General features: G+C 45.4%; 1 protein-coding gene across 15 annotated transcripts in view; it reads right to left on the bottom strand.

Annotated features, from left to right (window-relative positions):
* WWP2 (WW domain containing E3 ubiquitin protein ligase 2) overlaps positions 1 to 17,802 on the bottom strand; it is a 179,408-nt gene that overhangs the window by 87,503 nt on the left and 74,103 nt on the right. For 12 of the 15 annotated variants that reach the window (XM_017022879.2, XM_017022881.2, XM_011522823.3 and 9 more), the window contains 2 exons: positions 13,974 to 14,111; positions 12,117 to 12,213 (listed from right to left, as the gene is read on the bottom strand). In XM_017022879.2, the coding sequence (XP_016878368.1) occupies positions 12,117 to 12,213; positions 13,974 to 14,111 (235 nt within the window). Of the gene's footprint in view, positions 1 to 12,116; positions 12,214 to 13,973; positions 14,112 to 14,196; positions 14,533 to 15,347; positions 15,501 to 17,802 lie in introns of those variants that run through there. The other 3 variants (XM_047433524.1, NM_001270453.2, XM_011522826.4) reach the window with 3 other exon arrangements.

Here is a 17,802-nt window from a genome sequence, read left to right as displayed (position 1 = left end):
AAGCTCTCAAGACTAGAAAGTCATTTCTCCAACACCCATACTCTTTTTATTGGCTTCTCTCTAAACTTGTCCCCTTTCGATCACAATTTTCTAGGACCAAGAAGTAGTAGAATCCAGATACAGATCTGGTTCAAGTAGAACTAGCACTCACGTGCCCTGAATTGTGCCCTTATTGTGGCCCTGTGGTTCACTGTCAGGAATACGATGTTTCTCTCTGTGTCTCTTCAGTTAGGTTCTCATTCCTCCTCCTATGGGTGCACTTTCAGAGAAATGACTCTGCCCCAGAGCCAGGCAGTACCAATGTTCCATAAACCCTGCTGAACACCAAAGCCGACCACCATGGGAGATGTGGTTTTAAAGTGACATCTTCATTAGCTCCCCGCCTCTTGCGTCTCTTGTCTCCATGAATGACAGCACAGTAGAGGAATCTGGGAGTACCCCCCTCCCTCCTTACCCTTCACCTTGTCTCATTAGCCAGCCATGCAGTCCTGCTTAATTACACCTCCTAGGTATTTCTCTTGTCTCCTCTCTATTCGCTACTGCCCAAGGCTAGTCATCAATTGTAACCTCACCAGTTCCTGCAACAGTCCTCTTCGTCAGTCCCTGAGTCTGGTCTCAGCCCCACTGTATCAGACATTCCCACCCTCTTCTATCCCATATGCCCGCCCTGACGCACTGCAGGGCCTAGAAGACTTCCAGACCCTCCTGCAGATAGGCTCTGGGTGTGATTTAGGTTGCACCAATGAGAAGTTCTTGCAGAAAGGTTGGAAAGCAGAAGGAAGGCAGAAGCCATTTGTCCTGTGGTGGTGGTGACTGGCAGGGGCTCCAGCAGACACCATGCCTCATCGCCTGCACACCCACTTCAAATACATAAAGCGGTTGCAAGGGCACAGTAGTTTCTTGGCATGTGAACTGGAGCTGCAAGCCTGTGAGCCTGTAACCAAAGACCTCAGGGAGACCCCTCACTCCTATTGCATCAGCCCATCCAGTGACTTTTATAAGCATCTAATTCCCCATATTAAATCCTTTTCTGCTCAAAATACCTAGAGTGTTTTCTGTTTCCTGCAATGAACCCCAACTGATATAGCTCCGAATTCATCCATTAGACTACTTTCCTGAATAATTTACCGCAGAAATAGCCTTACCATTGCCTTGCTCAAAATCCACTGGTTCCCTGTCTCCAAAGAATAAAATCTACAGTCCTCAGTAAAACACAAAAGACCCTTTGTGAACTGCTCTTGCCTTCAAACCATCTCCTACAGCCAGGGACTGGCAAACTTTCTGCAAAGAGCCAAATCGTAAATCTTTTAGGTTTTGCTGACCATAAGATCTCTGTTCTAACTACTTAACATACCATCGTAGCATGAAAGTAGCCACAGACAATATGAAAATAAATGAGTATGGCCATATAAAAATAAAACTGTATTTCCAAAAACAGGTGGTAAAGAGAATGAGAAGACAAGCCGCAGACTGGGAGAAAATATTGGCAAAACATATATCTGATAAAGAACTGCTATCCAAAATATACAAAAAATGCTTAAAACTCAACAATAAGAACATGAACAACCAGATTTTTAAAATGGGCAAAGGACCTGAACAGACACCCTGCCAAAGAAGATATACAGATGGAATATAAGCATATGAAAAGACTCTCCATATCATAGGCCGGGCAAGGCAGCTCATGCCTGTAATCCCAGCACTTTGGGAGGCCGAGGTGGGCGGATCACCTGAGGTCAGGAGTTCGAGACCAACCTGGCCAACATGGTGAAACCCAGTTTCTACTTAAAATACAAAAAAATTAGCTGGGCGTGGTGGCAGGTGCCACCCAGCTACTCAGGAGGCTGAGGCAGGAGAATCACTTGAACCTAGGAGGTGGAGGGTGCAGTAAGCCGAGATCACACCATTGCACTCCAGCCTGGACAACAGAGTGAGGCTCTTTCTCAAAAAAAAAAAGAGACTCTCCACATCATATATCATCCAGGAAATGCAAATTAAAGTGAGATATCACTAGATACCCATTAGAATAGCCAAAATCCAGAAAATGGACTACATCAAACCTGGTGAAGATGTGGAGCAACAGGAACTCTCACTCACTGCTGGTGGCAATGCAAACTGGTGCAGCCGTTTTGGAAAACAGTTTAGCAGTTTCTTACAAAACTAAGCATACTTTTACCATATGACCCAGCAATCATGTTCCTTTGTATTTACCCAAGCAAGTTAAAAACTTTGTTTTGTTTTGTTTTGTTTTGTTTTAGCTGGAATCTCGCTGCTCTGTCGCCAGGCTGGAGTGCAGTGGCGTGATCTCAGCTCACTGCAAACTCCACCCCCCAGATTTAAGCTATTCTCCTGCCTCAGCCTCCCGAGTAGCTGGGACTCCAGGAGCGCACTACCACGCCCAGCTAATTTTTTTTTGTATTTTTACTAGAGATGGGGTTTCACTATGTTGGCCAGGATGGTCTGGATCTCTTGACCTTGCGATATGCCTGCCTCGGCCTCCCACAGTGCTAGGATTACAGGCATGAGCCACCGTTCCCGACCGAGTTGAAAACTTTTATCTGCACAGAAACCTGCACACTAATGTTTATGGCAGCTTTATTATTCATCATTGCCAAAACTTGGAAGCAACCAGTAAATGAATGAATAAACTGTGGAGGAGGAATGTAAAAGTGAATGGATAAACTGTGGTACATGCAGACAATGAAATATTATTCAGTACCCAAAATATCAAGCCATGAGAAGACGTGAAAGAAACGTAAATCCCAATTACTAAGTGAAAGAAGCCAATCTGACAAGGCTATATACTCTATGATCCAGCTATACGACATTCTGGAAATGGCAAAACTATGCAGACAATAAAATATCAGTGGTTACAATGGGCTGGGGACGGGAGGGAGAGATGAATAGATGAAGCACAGGGCAGTGAAACTACTCTGTATGACAGAGTAATGGTGGATACATGTGAGGGCCAAGGCACGTGGATCACTTGAGTCCAGGAGTTCAAGACCAGCCTGGCCAACATGGGGAAACCTCATCTCTACTAAAAATACAAAAAAAAAAAATTAGCTGGGCATGGTGGTGAATGCTTGTAATCCCAGCTACTCAGGAGGCTGAGGCATGAGACTCACTTGAACCTGGGAGGCAGAGGTTGCAGTAAGCTGAGATTGAGCCACTGCACTCCAGCCAGTGGAATGACAGAGCGAGACTCTGTCCAAAAAAAAAAAAAAAAAATTAAAGAGTGAAACCTAATATACATTTTGGACTTTGAGTGACAATGATGTGTCAATGCAGGCTCATCATTCTAACAAATGTACCACTCTGGTGGGGGATGTTGATAGTGGGGAAGAGAGTATATATGTTTGGGGGAACCTAAAAGTGCTCTAAAAAAAACACGGCAGATTTCACCCAGCAAAAACAAACAAACAAACAAGAACACCAACAAAAAAGCAGATGGCAGGCTGGATTCAGCCTGCAAACCCTAGTTTGCTACGCTATCATCCCTAATATCTTACATGTCAACATTTCTAAATGACTTTTATTTCCTCAAATACATCAAGTTCTCTTACTCCTCCTTGCCTTCACTCATGCTGTACCCTCTGCCTGCAGTGACATCCCTGAACCCCACTTCGTCGGTCTGGCAAACTCCTTCAAAATACTGCTCAAATGTGGGAGGTCTTCCCCAAATCTCCCAGGCATATCTAGGTAATGTCCCACTACATTCCTCTTGCATGTGTACATACCATCACCATGGATCCATCACACTAGACTCTAACTCATCCATGCATCTGTCTCCTACTAGAGACACTCCCTGATGTCAGGGACCCTGACTTTTCATCATTTTTTTTTTTTTTTTGAGATGGAGTCTCAGTCTGTTGCCCAGGCTGGAGTGCAGTGGTGTGATCTCGGCTCACTGCAAGCTCCACCTCCTGGGTTCACACCATTCTCCTGCCTCAGCCTCCCGAGTAGCTGGGACTACAGGCGCACACCACCACGCCCGGCTAATTTTTTTGTATTTTTAGTAGGGACGGGGTTTCACCGTGTTAGCCAGGATGGTCTCAATCTCCTGACCTCATGATCTGCCCACCTTGGCCTCCCAAAGTGCTGGGATTACAGGCGTGAGCCACTGCGCCCGGCCGACTTTTCATCTTTTAATCACCACGACAGCTCAGAGCCTGGCATTCATGTATATCAAGTGAATATTGCCTTCAACGGCAGAGATTTGCCTTCCTTCCTCCTAGTTTATAACCAGCTTTCTGGCGCATGCCACATCTGGCATTATAAACATCTCTCTAGGCTCATACAGAGTAAATGCCAAATAAATATCTATGCAATAAATAAATGTATAATAAGGTACCATGTATCATTTTAATTGATGCAAAATAAACCAATGTATAAATGAGTGTGTAATTAATCTCCATGATTTTTTTTTTAAGAGACAGGGTCTCCCTATGTTGTCCAGGCTGGAGTGCAGTGGCACGATCATAACTCACTGCAGCCTCAAACTCCTGGCCTCAAGCGATCCTTCTGCCTCAGCCTCCCAAAGAGCTGGGACTCAGGCATACAGCCACCATGCCCAGCCATGATTACTTTTCAACGTCTGGCTTGGAGAATGCAGTGGGACCCTTGACCACTGTCTCAATCCTATTCCATATTTACCAACTGCTCAGAAGAAAGCCCTGCCTACAAGCAGGGACTTTGAGCAGGGACTATGTCTTAATTATAACTGAATGAATGAATGAATGAATGAATGAATGAATAAATAAATAAATAAATAACACTTATTCCATTGTCTTCCCCAGCAACAGAAATGAGGCAATACCCAGATTTTAAGCATAAGCTACTGCATGGGAGGACTTTCCTGCTGACAGGGCAACATCTCTAAATAACTGCAGTTCCCAATCAAGCAGCCTTTAGTCACCTCAGTGGAAGGAGGGGTGGCAACCGCCAGCCAACAATGACTGTGAGAATGGCCTAGTGCCCAAGGCTCAGCTCCTATCCACCCTCCACCCCTCCTCCCTGCTAGCTCTGCTTCCCAATTCTCCCCCGGCCCTCCCAGGACTTCCTGAAGTGTTCACAGTGGACTCACACCCGCCTGAGTTTATTTTTCTTTCCTTTCTGGGATAGGCTGTCTGCAGACACAGTTGATGATCTATTTAGAGCTCACCGGAGACGGTTAGGCTTTATAAGTCTCCGAGATTACAGATCTTTTAAATCTTCAGAGGCCGTTAATGCCAAGGCAAGGGAGCCAATAAATCTGATATGTTTTCATCAAAGCAGGACAAAAAAAGAAGAGTAAAGGAGTGAGAAAGAAAACTATCTAAGAGGCTCTGAAACTTTTCCATGTAAAAAAATCACTGGGAAAGACATCTTAAAATGCAGATTGTGACCAACACTGGCCACTACTGACAGCTGATGAGGGCCACAGGCAAATCCAAGGTCCCCAGGCCTACATGCACACACAAACACACACATACACACTCTCTCATGTGCGTTCACATGCATTCTTAAACAAAATAGCTTAAATACATATACACATAAGAAAGGAAAATAAATTGTTGAAGGCTCTATATATAGCTTCTTTTTTTTTTTTTTTTTTTTTTTTAGCAACAGCATCTAGCTCTGTTGCCCAGGCTGGATTGCAGGGTCTCCATCTTGGCTCACTATAGCCTCAAATTCCTGGGCTCAAGCAATCCTCCCAACTCAGCCTCCCAAAGTGCTGGGATTACAGGCATGAGCCACTGCACCTAGCTATTGACACTTCGCTTCTTGTTTGTTTGTTTTTTTTTTTTGAGATGGAGCTTTGCTCTTGTTGACCAGGCTGGAGTGCAATGGCACGATCTGGGCTCACCACAACCTCCACTTCCCAGATTCAAGTGATTCTCCTGCCTCAGCTCCCCACGTAGCCGGGATTACAGGCATGCGCCACCACGCCTGGCTAACTTTGTATTTTTAGAAGAGATGGGGTTTCTCCATGTTGGTCAGGCTGGTCTTGAACTTCCGACCTCAGGTGATCCACTCACCTCAGCCTCCCAAAGCGCTGGGATTACACCCAGCCTGCACGCTGAGCCACTGCGCCCAGCTGACAGCTTCTTAACTAAGATCCCTTATGTTAATCCCTATTAATGAAAAATTTTATGAATCAAAAAGCAAATTAAATGCATTCTTCTCATTTTGTTGTTGTTGTTCCATTTCCCTGTATGACTATGGAAATTTTACTGAGATTCTAGACAGAGGAGCCAGTTATTCAAGCCAGAGGAAGTCGTGAGGTGCTAGGAGGAGCAGCTCCACTCACAGACAGTCCTGTGGGCTTCATTCCAACTTGACTCCCTGCTATGGTTTGGATGCAGTTTGTCCCCACCAAAATTCATGTTGAAATTTGATTCCCAATGTGGCAGAGTTGGGAGGTGAGACCTAGTGGGAGGTGTTTAGGTCATGGGGGTGGATCCCTCATGAATAAATTAATGTCCTCTCATGGGGGTGAGTGAGTTCTCTCTGTTGGGAACCTGCAAGAATGGGTTATTAAAAAGAGCCTGGCCAGGCGCGGTGGCTCACAGCTGTAATCCCAGCACTTTAGGAGGCCGAGGCGGGCAGATCACCTGAGGTCGGGAGTTCGAGACCAGCCTGACCAACATGGAGAAACCCCATCTCTACTAAAAATACAAAATTAGTCAGGCATGGTGGCGCATGCCTGTAATCCCAGCTACTCAGGGGCTGAGGCAGGAGAATAGCTTGAACCTGGGAGAGAGAAGTTGCAGTGAGCTGAGTTTGCACCATTGCAGTCCACCCTGGGCAACAAGAGTGAAACTCCATCTCAAAAAAATTAAAAAAAAAAAAAATAAGAAAAATAAATAAAAAGGCAGGGCATGGTGGCTCATGCCTGTAATCCCAGCACTTTGGGAGGCCAAGGTGCGTGGATCGCCTGAAGTCAGGAGTTTGAGACCAGCCTGACCAATATGGTGAAACCCCGTCTCTACTAAAAATGCAAAAATTAGTCGGGCATGGTGGCATGTGCCTGTAGTCCCAGCTACTCTGGAGGATGAGACAGGAGAATTGCTTGAACCTGGGAGGCAGAGTTTATAGTGAGCCGAGATCGTGGCACTGCACTCCAGCCTGGGCGACAGAGCAAGACTCCATCTCAAATTTAAAAATAAATAAATAAATAATAAAAAGAGCCTGGCAGCAGGTGTAGGGCCTGGCACACACCTGTAGTCCCAGCTACTTGGGAGGCTAAAGCAAGAGGATCCCTGGAGCCCAGGATTTTGAGGCTGCAGTGAGCTGTGGGTGAGCCACTGCACTCTAGCCAGGGTGACAGAGCAAGACTCTAAATATATATTTCGTTTAAAGAAGAATAAAATAATGAACACTTGGGAGCCACCACCCAGGCAAAGAAACAACATGACCAGTATCTTAGAAACTTTCTCTGTACTCTTTTCTCATTACACCTGTCTGCCTCCTCCCAAGATAACCTCCTGAATTCAGGATTCATTATTCCCATTCTTTTTTCTTTTTTTTTTTTTCTTGAGACAGAGTCTCACTCCATCACTCAGCTGGAGTGCAGTGGCGCAATCTCGGCTCACTGCAACCTCCACCTCGGGGGTTCAAGTGATTCTCCTACCTCAGCCTCCCGAATAGCAGGGATTACAGGTGCACGCCACCATGCCAAGCTAATTTTTATATTTTTAGTAGAGAAGAAGTTTCGCCATGTTGGCCAGGCTGGTCTTGAACTCCTGACCTCAAGTGATCCATCCGCCTCGACCTCCCCAAAATGCTGGGATTACAGGCGTGAGCCACCACACCCAGCCCCATCCATTTTTTATAGTTTTACTGCCTCTGAAGGTATCCATACAACATGTATTGTTTGGCTTTGCATTTTTCAACTTTCTACGTATGACATCCTACTATGGTACTGTTTTCTATGACCTGCTTCTCTTGTTCAACATTATGTTTCTAAGATTCCACCATATGGATATAACCATTTTTCACCCATTTTTACTGTGAGACAGTATTCCATTATAAGAGTGTATGACAATTTATGATATAACTCTTTCTTTACATAATCAGACCTCTGATTCCATATTAACACAGTCTGTGGGCAAACAAATGTATGCCGCATGAATTGCTGGTGGCAGTCCCATGCTGGCTTCCATGTGCCAGACCAGATAAGTATTCTTTTTTTTTTTTTTTTTTTTTGAGATGGAGTCTGGCTCTGTCACCCAGGCTGGAGTGCAGTGGCTAGATCTCAGCTCACTGCAACCTCCGCCTCCCAGGTTCAGGCAATTCTCCTGCCTCAGCCTTCTGAGTAGCTGGGATTATAGGCACACACCACCATGCCTGGCTAATTTTTGTACTTTTAGTAGAGACAGGGTTTCACCATGTTGGCCAGCCTGGTCTCAAACTCCTGACCTCAAGTGATCTGCCCGCCTCAGCCTCCCAAAGTGCTGGGATTACAGGCATGAGCCACCACGCCCAGGCTTCATCTGATTATTCTTGAAGAAGAGGCAAGATCCCACTAAGAAATGGAGCTGTGAGACCTTGCTTAGCAAGCAAGTGGTGCTCTGCGGGATGAGCTTGGACGAATGAACCCCTCAGATAAAACCCTTTCACAGTTCCAGTTCTACAGCTTTACCAAGCAGAGGAAAGAAGGAGAGGAAAGGGTTGCTTTGACATCGCAGTCTTCACCTTCATGGGCAGGTCAGAGCACCTTTGTTTGATCACAGTGAATAGCACCCAAGTCCAAGAAAAACCTACCCTTCAGACAGCAAAAGCTAAATATTTAGTCTGGGAGACAGCAGGCAGAAGCCCATCATTCTCTCTGCCCCCAGAAAGCAAGGACAGCAAAGGACTGCCCTTGATCCCAAAGGTCTGATTCATCACCTCCCAACTACAGTCCTTGATGTAAACGCACCGGTAATGCCTCACTTCCCAGGCTTAGCAGGGAAGGGGGGTAGGCATGCACAAACGAGTCTCCAGATACAAAGAAAACCCACTGCCACTTCCACCGAGTGCTCCCGTTGTGTAAGGCCCTCTGACTGACATGCCTCATCTCAGTTCATTCCCACAATAACCCTGTGAGACAGGTGATACCCCCACTTTACACCTGAAAAAAACTGGGGATCCGAGAGGTTTTGTGACTTATCCAAAATCATATAGCAAGTAAATGACAGGCCAGGATTCGATCTGCATCTCCTGATTCCAAAGCCCTACACCTTTATCCAATAGACTCCTTGGCCACCGCCTACAGTCATAAGCATGTGTGCACAGTGACCTTCATACCTGCAACAGCAAAGTGGAAAGGGGGCTTTTAAGGAGGCAAAGAGACAGCCTTTGGATAATATTTGCAAAAATATTTCCTGCTGAATGGCAACAGGTTCCATGTGAGTGCAGAATGAATAGTTACTTAGATGGCAGAGGCCAGGGAAAACTCAGATGCTACACGTAGTAAAAGCCTGCAGCAGCTAACAGACTGCAGAGGACTCCGATAAGGCTTACACTATCGGAAGGTACCTTGCTCACCAGTAACTAACTAGCACTGAATGTCTACCACGTGTGATGGGCCAAAATGCATCCGATTTCCTGTTGCAGCCTGGCTGCTGCAACACCGATGACCTGGTGTCATTCTCAACACCAATGACAACAAACGAGGTTTAACAGGATCTCTGAATTTCAAGGTCGATCAACTAGAGGAATTCAGAGACCAGTAAATAGGTCAAGAATTTAGATCCAAACTTGTTAATAGCTGAATCTGACTTTGAGCCCCAAATTAAGTTATATGGGTGTGTTTGAGACAAACTTTCCAACTCAGCTAAAAGACTAAGATGTAGTTACTAGCACCAAAGCTGAGAAGGCATCACTCTCTAAAGAGTGAAATACTCAAGTATTCCTTCCTCTCTAAAAGAGTGAAATGCTCAAGTATTCCTCGCCCACCGCTGTTCTAGCTTAAGAAATTGTTTCCTCCAGTTCCAGGTGCCCATCATGGCTTTGTTGACACAAGATTTGCCAGTTACACTGTCATTCATCACCCCGTGAGACCCAACTATTGTAAGTCACCTACCGAGACACGGAAAACATGACTGGTCTTTGGGAGTGAGGCAACGCCTTTACAGTGACTTGGAGAAAAGAGAATGGGGAAATGGCATCTCTGCTTCTAATAAAGGTACGGAAAAAAGATCCAAACGTCCATCTTGTCTTGCTCCCGCCACTTGCCAGTCACCACAACCTCATAAGCCCACAAAACAACCAAATCTGGAGAAGCTGACAGCTGTCCTCAGAGGGATCTTTTAAGATGCTGCGGGTATTGGCTAAAATCATATTCCATTTTTCAAAGCATTATTCCCCCTCCCTAGGGTCTGTTTGGGAAGTTTTTTTGTTTTTTTGTTTTTTTTACAGACATAGTCTCACTCTGTTACCCAGTGCCCTGATGCTAGCTCAGTGCAGCCTCAAACTCTTGGGCTCAAGCAATCCTCCCACCTCAGCCTCCCAAGTAGCTGGGACTACAGGCACACACTACCATGCCCAGCTCATTTTTCTATCTTTTATAGAGACAGAGCCTCCCTAGGTTGCCCAGGCTGGTCTTGGAACTCCTGGCCTCAAGCGATCCTCCCACTTTGATCTTCCAAAAGAGCTGGAATTACAGGCATGAGCCACTGTGCCTGGCCTCGTTTGGGAAGATTTTACTGCCAGTTACTCACCTACTTTCCGCAAGTGATAAAGATTTACAAACTACATTCGTAGTTTGTACATTTAAGATTATTTTCCTCAAAATGTCCTCTAAATATCTGGGGATTTTGCACATTGCAATAAACAATAAACAAAGGTGCCAACCCTCTCCCCTCATCTCTTTATACTTAGAACTATTTTCCTGCCTAGACGTTCAGTTGCCATGGAAATGAGTTTGCACCACTAACACAGGTATAAAATGGGAATTTCAGTAAATAACATTACGTCATTTGTAATACGTATAACAAGTATAATATTTGGACTCTAAGCGTAGGAGGTCTTAACCAACATTACAAGGGAACCATGGGCCACCCCCAAAGCAGAATGCATGACAGAAAATTGCACAAAGAACCATTGCTCTAAGCATTTCTATGTGTATCCTGGAAGAATAACTGTGGCTGCAGCCCCGGACATACAAAAAAGCAGTCAAGTTTCCTGTTCAACAGTTCCTTTTATCCAATAACCTACTTAGCCAGTCCCAATCTTCATCAAGGAGCCTCTGACCCTTCTAAGAATCCTGAATTCTTTCACAACCATAAAAAAGAATAAAAAATAAGTCAGATACAGTGGCTTATGGCTGTAATCCCAACAGTTTGGGAGGCCAGGACAGGAGAATCGGTTGAGTCCAGGAGTTCGAGACCAGCCTGGGCAACATGGTAAAACCCTATCTCTACAAAAATAAAAAAATTAGCCAGGCATGGTGGCACATGCCTGCTGTCTCAGCTACTCAGGATGCTGAGGTGGGTGGATTGCTTGAGCCCAGGAGGTCAAGGCTGCTATGAGCTGTGATGGTGCCATAGCACTCCAGCGTAGGCAACAAAGCAAGACCCCATATCAAAAAACAAAACAAAAGAATGAAATCATGTCCTTTGCAGGGACATGAATATAGCCGGAGAGTGGAGGCCATTATCCTAAGCAAATCAATGCAGAAACAGAAAACCAAATACCATATGTTCTCATTTATAAGTGGGAGCTAAACATTGAGTACACATGAACACAAAGATAGAAATAATAAACACTGGGGACTCCAAAAACAAGGAGGGAGAGGAGCAAGAATTGAAAAACTACCAATCAGGTACTATGTTCACTATCTGGGCAATAGGATCATTAGAAGCCCAAACTTCAACATCATGCAATATACCCATGTAACAAACCTGTACATGTACCCCCTGAATCTAAAATAAAAACAAAAATTAAAAATCCAAATTCAATTAAAAAAAAAATAAATAAGGATCCTAAGCTCTGGACTCCTCTATTAGCTTTCTTAACTACTGAGTCAGTTACAAGATCTCTGGAAATCTCCAACAGTTTCTACCATAAAATGTTCCCCGCCATGTCCCAACATGTTTTCAATAGCTCTAAGCAACTTCTTAGCTCTTTGTCCTCACCAAGGGGGGTCTTACCGGGATCTTCCACCAAAGCAGTTTGTGCTGGGGGGCTGGTGCCGGTTCTCTGGAGCTACTGCTGTTCCACTGGAGTCTCTCGAAGGCAGCTGTGATCCTAGAAAGGAATCAATCACAAGAAAAGACAGAAGCATTGAGGAGCTCAACTCGTGTTTGAGATTTGACGGCCAGGAACAGAACTCCGTCTGTGTGTTAGAGTTGCCCACCACCACGGGATATGGACATCCGGCAAGCTGCAGCCACCAGGAGAAGAGGAACAGGGACGATCATATGGATCCGATCCATGCCATGGAGCAGTGGGGCTCAAACCTTGGAAACAGCTTCTCTTCTCCAAGACATTGAAGAACATCCAAGGCACTTACAAGCACATTGCCTTATCCATTAAATGAATCTGAGCCTCAAAAACGTGAGATAGAGAACAAAACCCTAACCATGCAAAGTAGGGGCCAGAAATCGGGGGCATTTCTCCATAATACACCCAGAGAGCTTTTACAAAGCCAAATCAGATCATCATAGTCTTCTGCGAGAAACCCTTCAATAGCTGTTTCTCAAGATGAGGTCCAAAATCCCTACCAAATGTTTCAAGGCTGCGTGATCTGAGTTGACCTGTTTCTCTGATCTCACCTCCTCCATTCTCTCTCCTTCTTGCTCCTAATAATCCAACCACGCTGACTGCCTCTGTTCCCACCACAGGCCAAGCCACCCCTTTACCCCACACTCCCACCTTGGCCTGTCTAAACTCCTCATCCTCCAAGTCTCAGCTTCCTCAGAGAAACCTTCCCTGACCCCGCAACTTAGATGAGATCTCCCCCAACAAAGTACAGGAATCTCATAGCACCCTGTGGTTTTCACTGATAGCTTTTGTTACAATCACAGCTATGTAATTATCTGTGTGTTTACTCATTTGATATCTAACTTCCCCTGCCCTCATCAAGGAGACTGTAAACCTGAAGCAGTGGAGACCATGTGAATTTGGCCCACTGCCATCTGGCTAGGGCCTGGTCTAAGACCTAGTGCATACCAGAATACAATTACATATATATGTGTTGAATGAGTGAATGACACATGTTTTTCTCCAAGCACCAAAGCACCCCAAACACCGATCAGTCCAGTTAAGGGATTTTTCTCCACAGTCAAGGCCCATCCGGCCACTGAGATTCCAACCAACTGCCCTTGAATTGCAATTCAAATTGCACCCCTTTGAAGCTACAGAAATCCTGCTTGGTGTCTGGAAAGTGCCATGGTTACATCACATCTAACAAAACATTTAATGAGAAAAATTATGGAGAAACCCAACCCATTTCAGACCTCGGACTTCATGAAATAATTTCCTGCTAGATCCAAAGGTGACTAATTTCAGACTAGATCAAAAGAAACAAACTACCAACATTCGGGACAGAGCAAGGGACACTCTCCAAATTCCCTGCTCTGTCTGTATTTTGCTAGTGTGTATCTCTAGAAGAACACAGCGTACCCTTCCCAACCAATGCCTCTCATAAAAACACCTTCAACCTCCCCAAAAAGTGTAACTGTATTGGGAAGGAAAATAATGGGCCAAAGTCACATTTGATAAAGATATTTCATTTTCCAAAGTCCACATGGGATGAAAGATGTTTTTCTCTGCTATCAAACCAAACAATTACATATTTACAAAGACTGGACATTTACTGTGACCCTTGAAAATTCATGTTGTGATACTGATCCACGGAGCTAAGAAGAGTCCGGGCTAGCTATGGGCCAGGCTGAGTGGGAATCAAACCAAGATGGCCTAGTAAGAACCAAGCTCTCAGCACCTCCTGGCCCCCGCCCAGCCCCACCCTGTCCCGGCACAGTCCTGAGGAGCAGGGCGGCACTCACCATCTGTCAGGGCACTGCCATTAGGCACATTTCCCAGATCAACAGTTGGCCCGTCCAGGAAAATTGTCAGCTCTCCGCCTGAGACAACGCTGCCTTTGTTCTCCGTCTGCAGGTTCAGGGTCAGCTGCATGTTCTCCACTGTGGGGTACAAAAGGCAACATGGATGGGCTAAAGAGAATGCACCCCAAGTTAAGATTCTCTAAATTAGAAGCTTTCATTTCACCTTTGCTGGCTTCTCTGGGAATGCTTTCTCCACATCTTCACATTTTGCCTCGTGGCATGGAAAAAAGAGTGGGAAGGAATATGTCTAATGAAATCACTGTTGTATCAGGCTGGAGGGGAAGCTGCACTCTTTCTAAACATTTCATATCACTGGGTCAGCACCATAATTTCCACATTACTGATGTATTAGTTTGTTTATACTTGCAGGACTGTGAGAAAAGCATAGGGATATTGATGGCGTACAGACGAAGAAATTAGTTGCAAGTAATATCCCCCTGCCCATAGAAACCGAGGAGACCCTAAGGAACTGTCAACAGGAGGCATCTCCATCTAGATGAGGGATTGCAGGGGCTTATTCTTTTCTTATTTGTGTTAAAACATGATGTTGTTTTTTAAAATTTTCAATCCTGAAAATGTATTGTCTTGAAATAAGGAAAAAAAAGTTAAAACAATGAAACTTCAATACAGGCTAATCAGCCCCATCAGTGACTTAAGGAGAGAGAATTGAGAAGTGGCCCAGAGCACCCCGTCCCCAAGGATACCAGGCAGATTCAGTCCTGTGGGTGACTGTAGCAGAAAAACAGAACAAGCTGACTGGAGGCAGAAGCACCAAGCCCTAGGCAGGCTAGAAACTGCTGCATACACACCCTCCACCCTGCTACTGAACTTGGCTGTGCTGAATAGCTTCTGTCTAGTTAAGTGTTTAGTCCACACTGAATATTTCAGTTCCCTTCAGTTCAGTCCAGCCAGGAGCTATGGCCTTCAGTTCAGGGCCGTTTAATAATTACCAAGAGGGAATCAGCCTTTATGAGGATTTCCACGGGGTCCGTCCACTCCACACCTTACAAAACCACATATCTGAACCTCCCTCCCCACCCGCCCCACCCAATCCAACACTTTGTTTTATTTCTTAGTTGCTACTGCATGATTATAAGCTATCTTACCTGTCTTCTAGAACAAGGTATAGTATATATAAATGTCTCCATAAGCACACTAAGGTAAATTTCAGCACTTTCTAGAGATAACCCCCCTTCCCCCACCCCCCCAAAAAAGACTGCTCTAAATCCCTCTACAGATACAACCCTTTAAGAACTTAGCAGAAAATTCTGGATCAAGTCAAAGATCTATTATAATAAGATAGAAACCAGTTACCCTTTGGGTTTTCAAGCTCTCCTAAGCGCTCTACCTTCCCTTAATCTCTCTTCCCTGCCATGGATCTCTCCAATTCTTTTCTGAGTGAGTCTGCTGCTATTTTCAGCCAGTTCCACTGAGGGCCTTGGTGAGTACTAAACGTTTCTATAAAATAACACTTGTAGTTTCCAAAGGAAACGAGTTCCTTCAAAAGCCAAGGAGTATGGGAAGGAACTGAGGCCTTTCAACCCCCAGCCACCTCTTGCCATCCCTGGGAGTGGCCACTTGGGAAGCAGCTGCTCCAGCCCCAGCAGAGCCTAACCCTACAGCTTAGTCCACATCCTGAATGCAGCCTCGGGAGAGATCCCTGGCCAGGCTGCCCAGCTAAGCTGCTGCCAAATCTAGCCCCCTGAAACTATGCAATCGTAAGTGTTGATTATTGTGGGCTTTTTTTTTTTTTTTTTTAAGTCAAGGAGGGTCTCCCTCCTCTATTACGCCAAGATCCAGTACCTAAGTCTCTGGCAATAGGGTTTTTAAGCACGTGGATTAAGAGGGGGTGTGGTCAGGCACTCCGAGTTTAATTCACAGTTCTAGTCCCTGAGAGCTGTGCACCGTGAAGCAAACTACCTAACCTGAGCATCAGTCTCCCTACCTGCAAAACAGGGGTAATCATGGCACCTTTTTCAGAGGACTCTTGCAAAGAAGTAAATGGCACCTACCGAGTTCCTAATAAGCTGTCATTTTTATCATCTCCCTGTTGACTTCCTGTGTTTAGGAAGAGTCCTAATTCCTCTTGGTCTAACTTCTCATTCACTGTATTTGTTTTTTGTTTTGCTTTTTAATTTTTTTTTTATAGAGACATGGTTCACTATGTTGCCCAGGCTGGTCTCGAACTCCTGGCCTCAAGCAATCCTCCCACCTTGGCCTCCCAAAGTGCTGGGATTACAGGAGTGAGCCACCGCGCCCTAGCCTTCATTCATTTTATAGTCATTCTTCTCTTGATCCTTCTGATCCTTCTGAGACTTTTTTGGGCTGTGACCACAGAATCTTCCAAGGTAAGCCACAGACCCATCACGCAGACAAACTGTCCTTTCATCTTGTTTCCAGGTCATCTCCTAAAGGCGCCCAGCCTTCTGGCTCCAGGACACACACCGCTATTGGAAGCGTGCTGAGGGATGAGCATTCCGGAAGGCTCCTTGATTCCTGTCCTGATACCTCAAAGGTCATCGTTTCATAAATGGAGTGTTGGCACTTTTTTTTCCTCCTTCCTGGAGGACTGATAATGTTCAACAGGAGAGTGGAGGAACCCAAGGCCTCTTGTTGCTAATTTCTACCCCCGTGACAGTCACACTGCCATGGGCCTTGGACAGAAGGCAGAGAGATAGCCTGAATTTTCCTCTCCATGGTCTCATCTCAGGGATCCAAGTTAGCTCTTCTATCTGGTTTATCTACTCATTGTCTCCAGTGGAATCATTATATATTTGAAGGCTCAGAAGCCATCATACAACACCTTGAGACACATTTTGTCTTCAAAAAGAGCCAATGGGCTGGGTGCAGTGGCTCATGCCTGTAATCCCAGCACTTTGGGAGGCTGAGGTAGGAGGATCACCTGAGGCCAGGAGTTCAAGACAAGCATGAGTAACACAGTGAGACTCTGTCACTAAAAAAAATTAATTAAAAGCAGCCAGCCAGGCTCAGTGGCTCATGCCTGTAATCCCAGCACTTTGGGAGACCAAGGAGGATGGATTGCTTGAGTCCAGGAGTTCAAGACCAGCCTGGGCAACATGGTAAAACCCCATCTCTAATAAAAATGCCAAAAATTAGCTGGATATGGTAGTAGGCAACTGTAGTCCCAGATACTGAGGAGGCAGAGGTGGGAGAATCACCTGAGCCCGGGAGGTCGAGGCTGCAGTGAGCCAAGATCATGCCAGGGCACTCCAACCTAAGCAACCAAAATGAGACTGCGTCTCAAAAAAGTAAAATAGGACTGGGCATGGTGGCTCATGCCTGTAATCCCAGCACTTTGGGAGGCTGAGATGGGCTGCGATGGGTGGGTCGCTTGAGCTCAGGAATTCGAGACCATCCTGGGCAACATGGTGAGACCCTGTCTCTATTAAAAATACAAAAAATCACCCAGGTCTGGCAGGGTGCACCTGTGGTCCCCACTACCTGGGAGGCTGAAGTGGGAGGATTACTTGAGCCTGGGTTGGGGGCATACATTGCAGTGAGCCAAGATTGCGCCACTGCACTCCAGCCTGTGTGACAGAGCGAGACCCTGTCTCAAAAAATAAATTAATTTAATTTAAATTTAAATAGCCAATGAGGAGAGAGAGGGCCTTTTTTCTTTAAACTAAACTTTTGAGAACATAACCCTCCTCTGTTCTATTTGAGACCTCTGGCTGTCACCATGATAACCAAGTGATCTAATTTACTGTCACTGAGAGCAAAGCAAGGCAACCTGATGCCACATGCTTCA

This window comes from Homo sapiens, chromosome 16 (genome assembly GCF_000001405.40).
Source record: "Homo sapiens chromosome 16, GRCh38.p14 Primary Assembly".
In the NCBI taxonomy this organism is placed as follows: Eukaryota; Metazoa; Chordata; class Mammalia; order Primates; family Hominidae; genus Homo; species Homo sapiens.
Note: the sequence above shows the minus strand (reverse complement) of the source record. Positions and strands in the feature narration are given on the sequence as shown.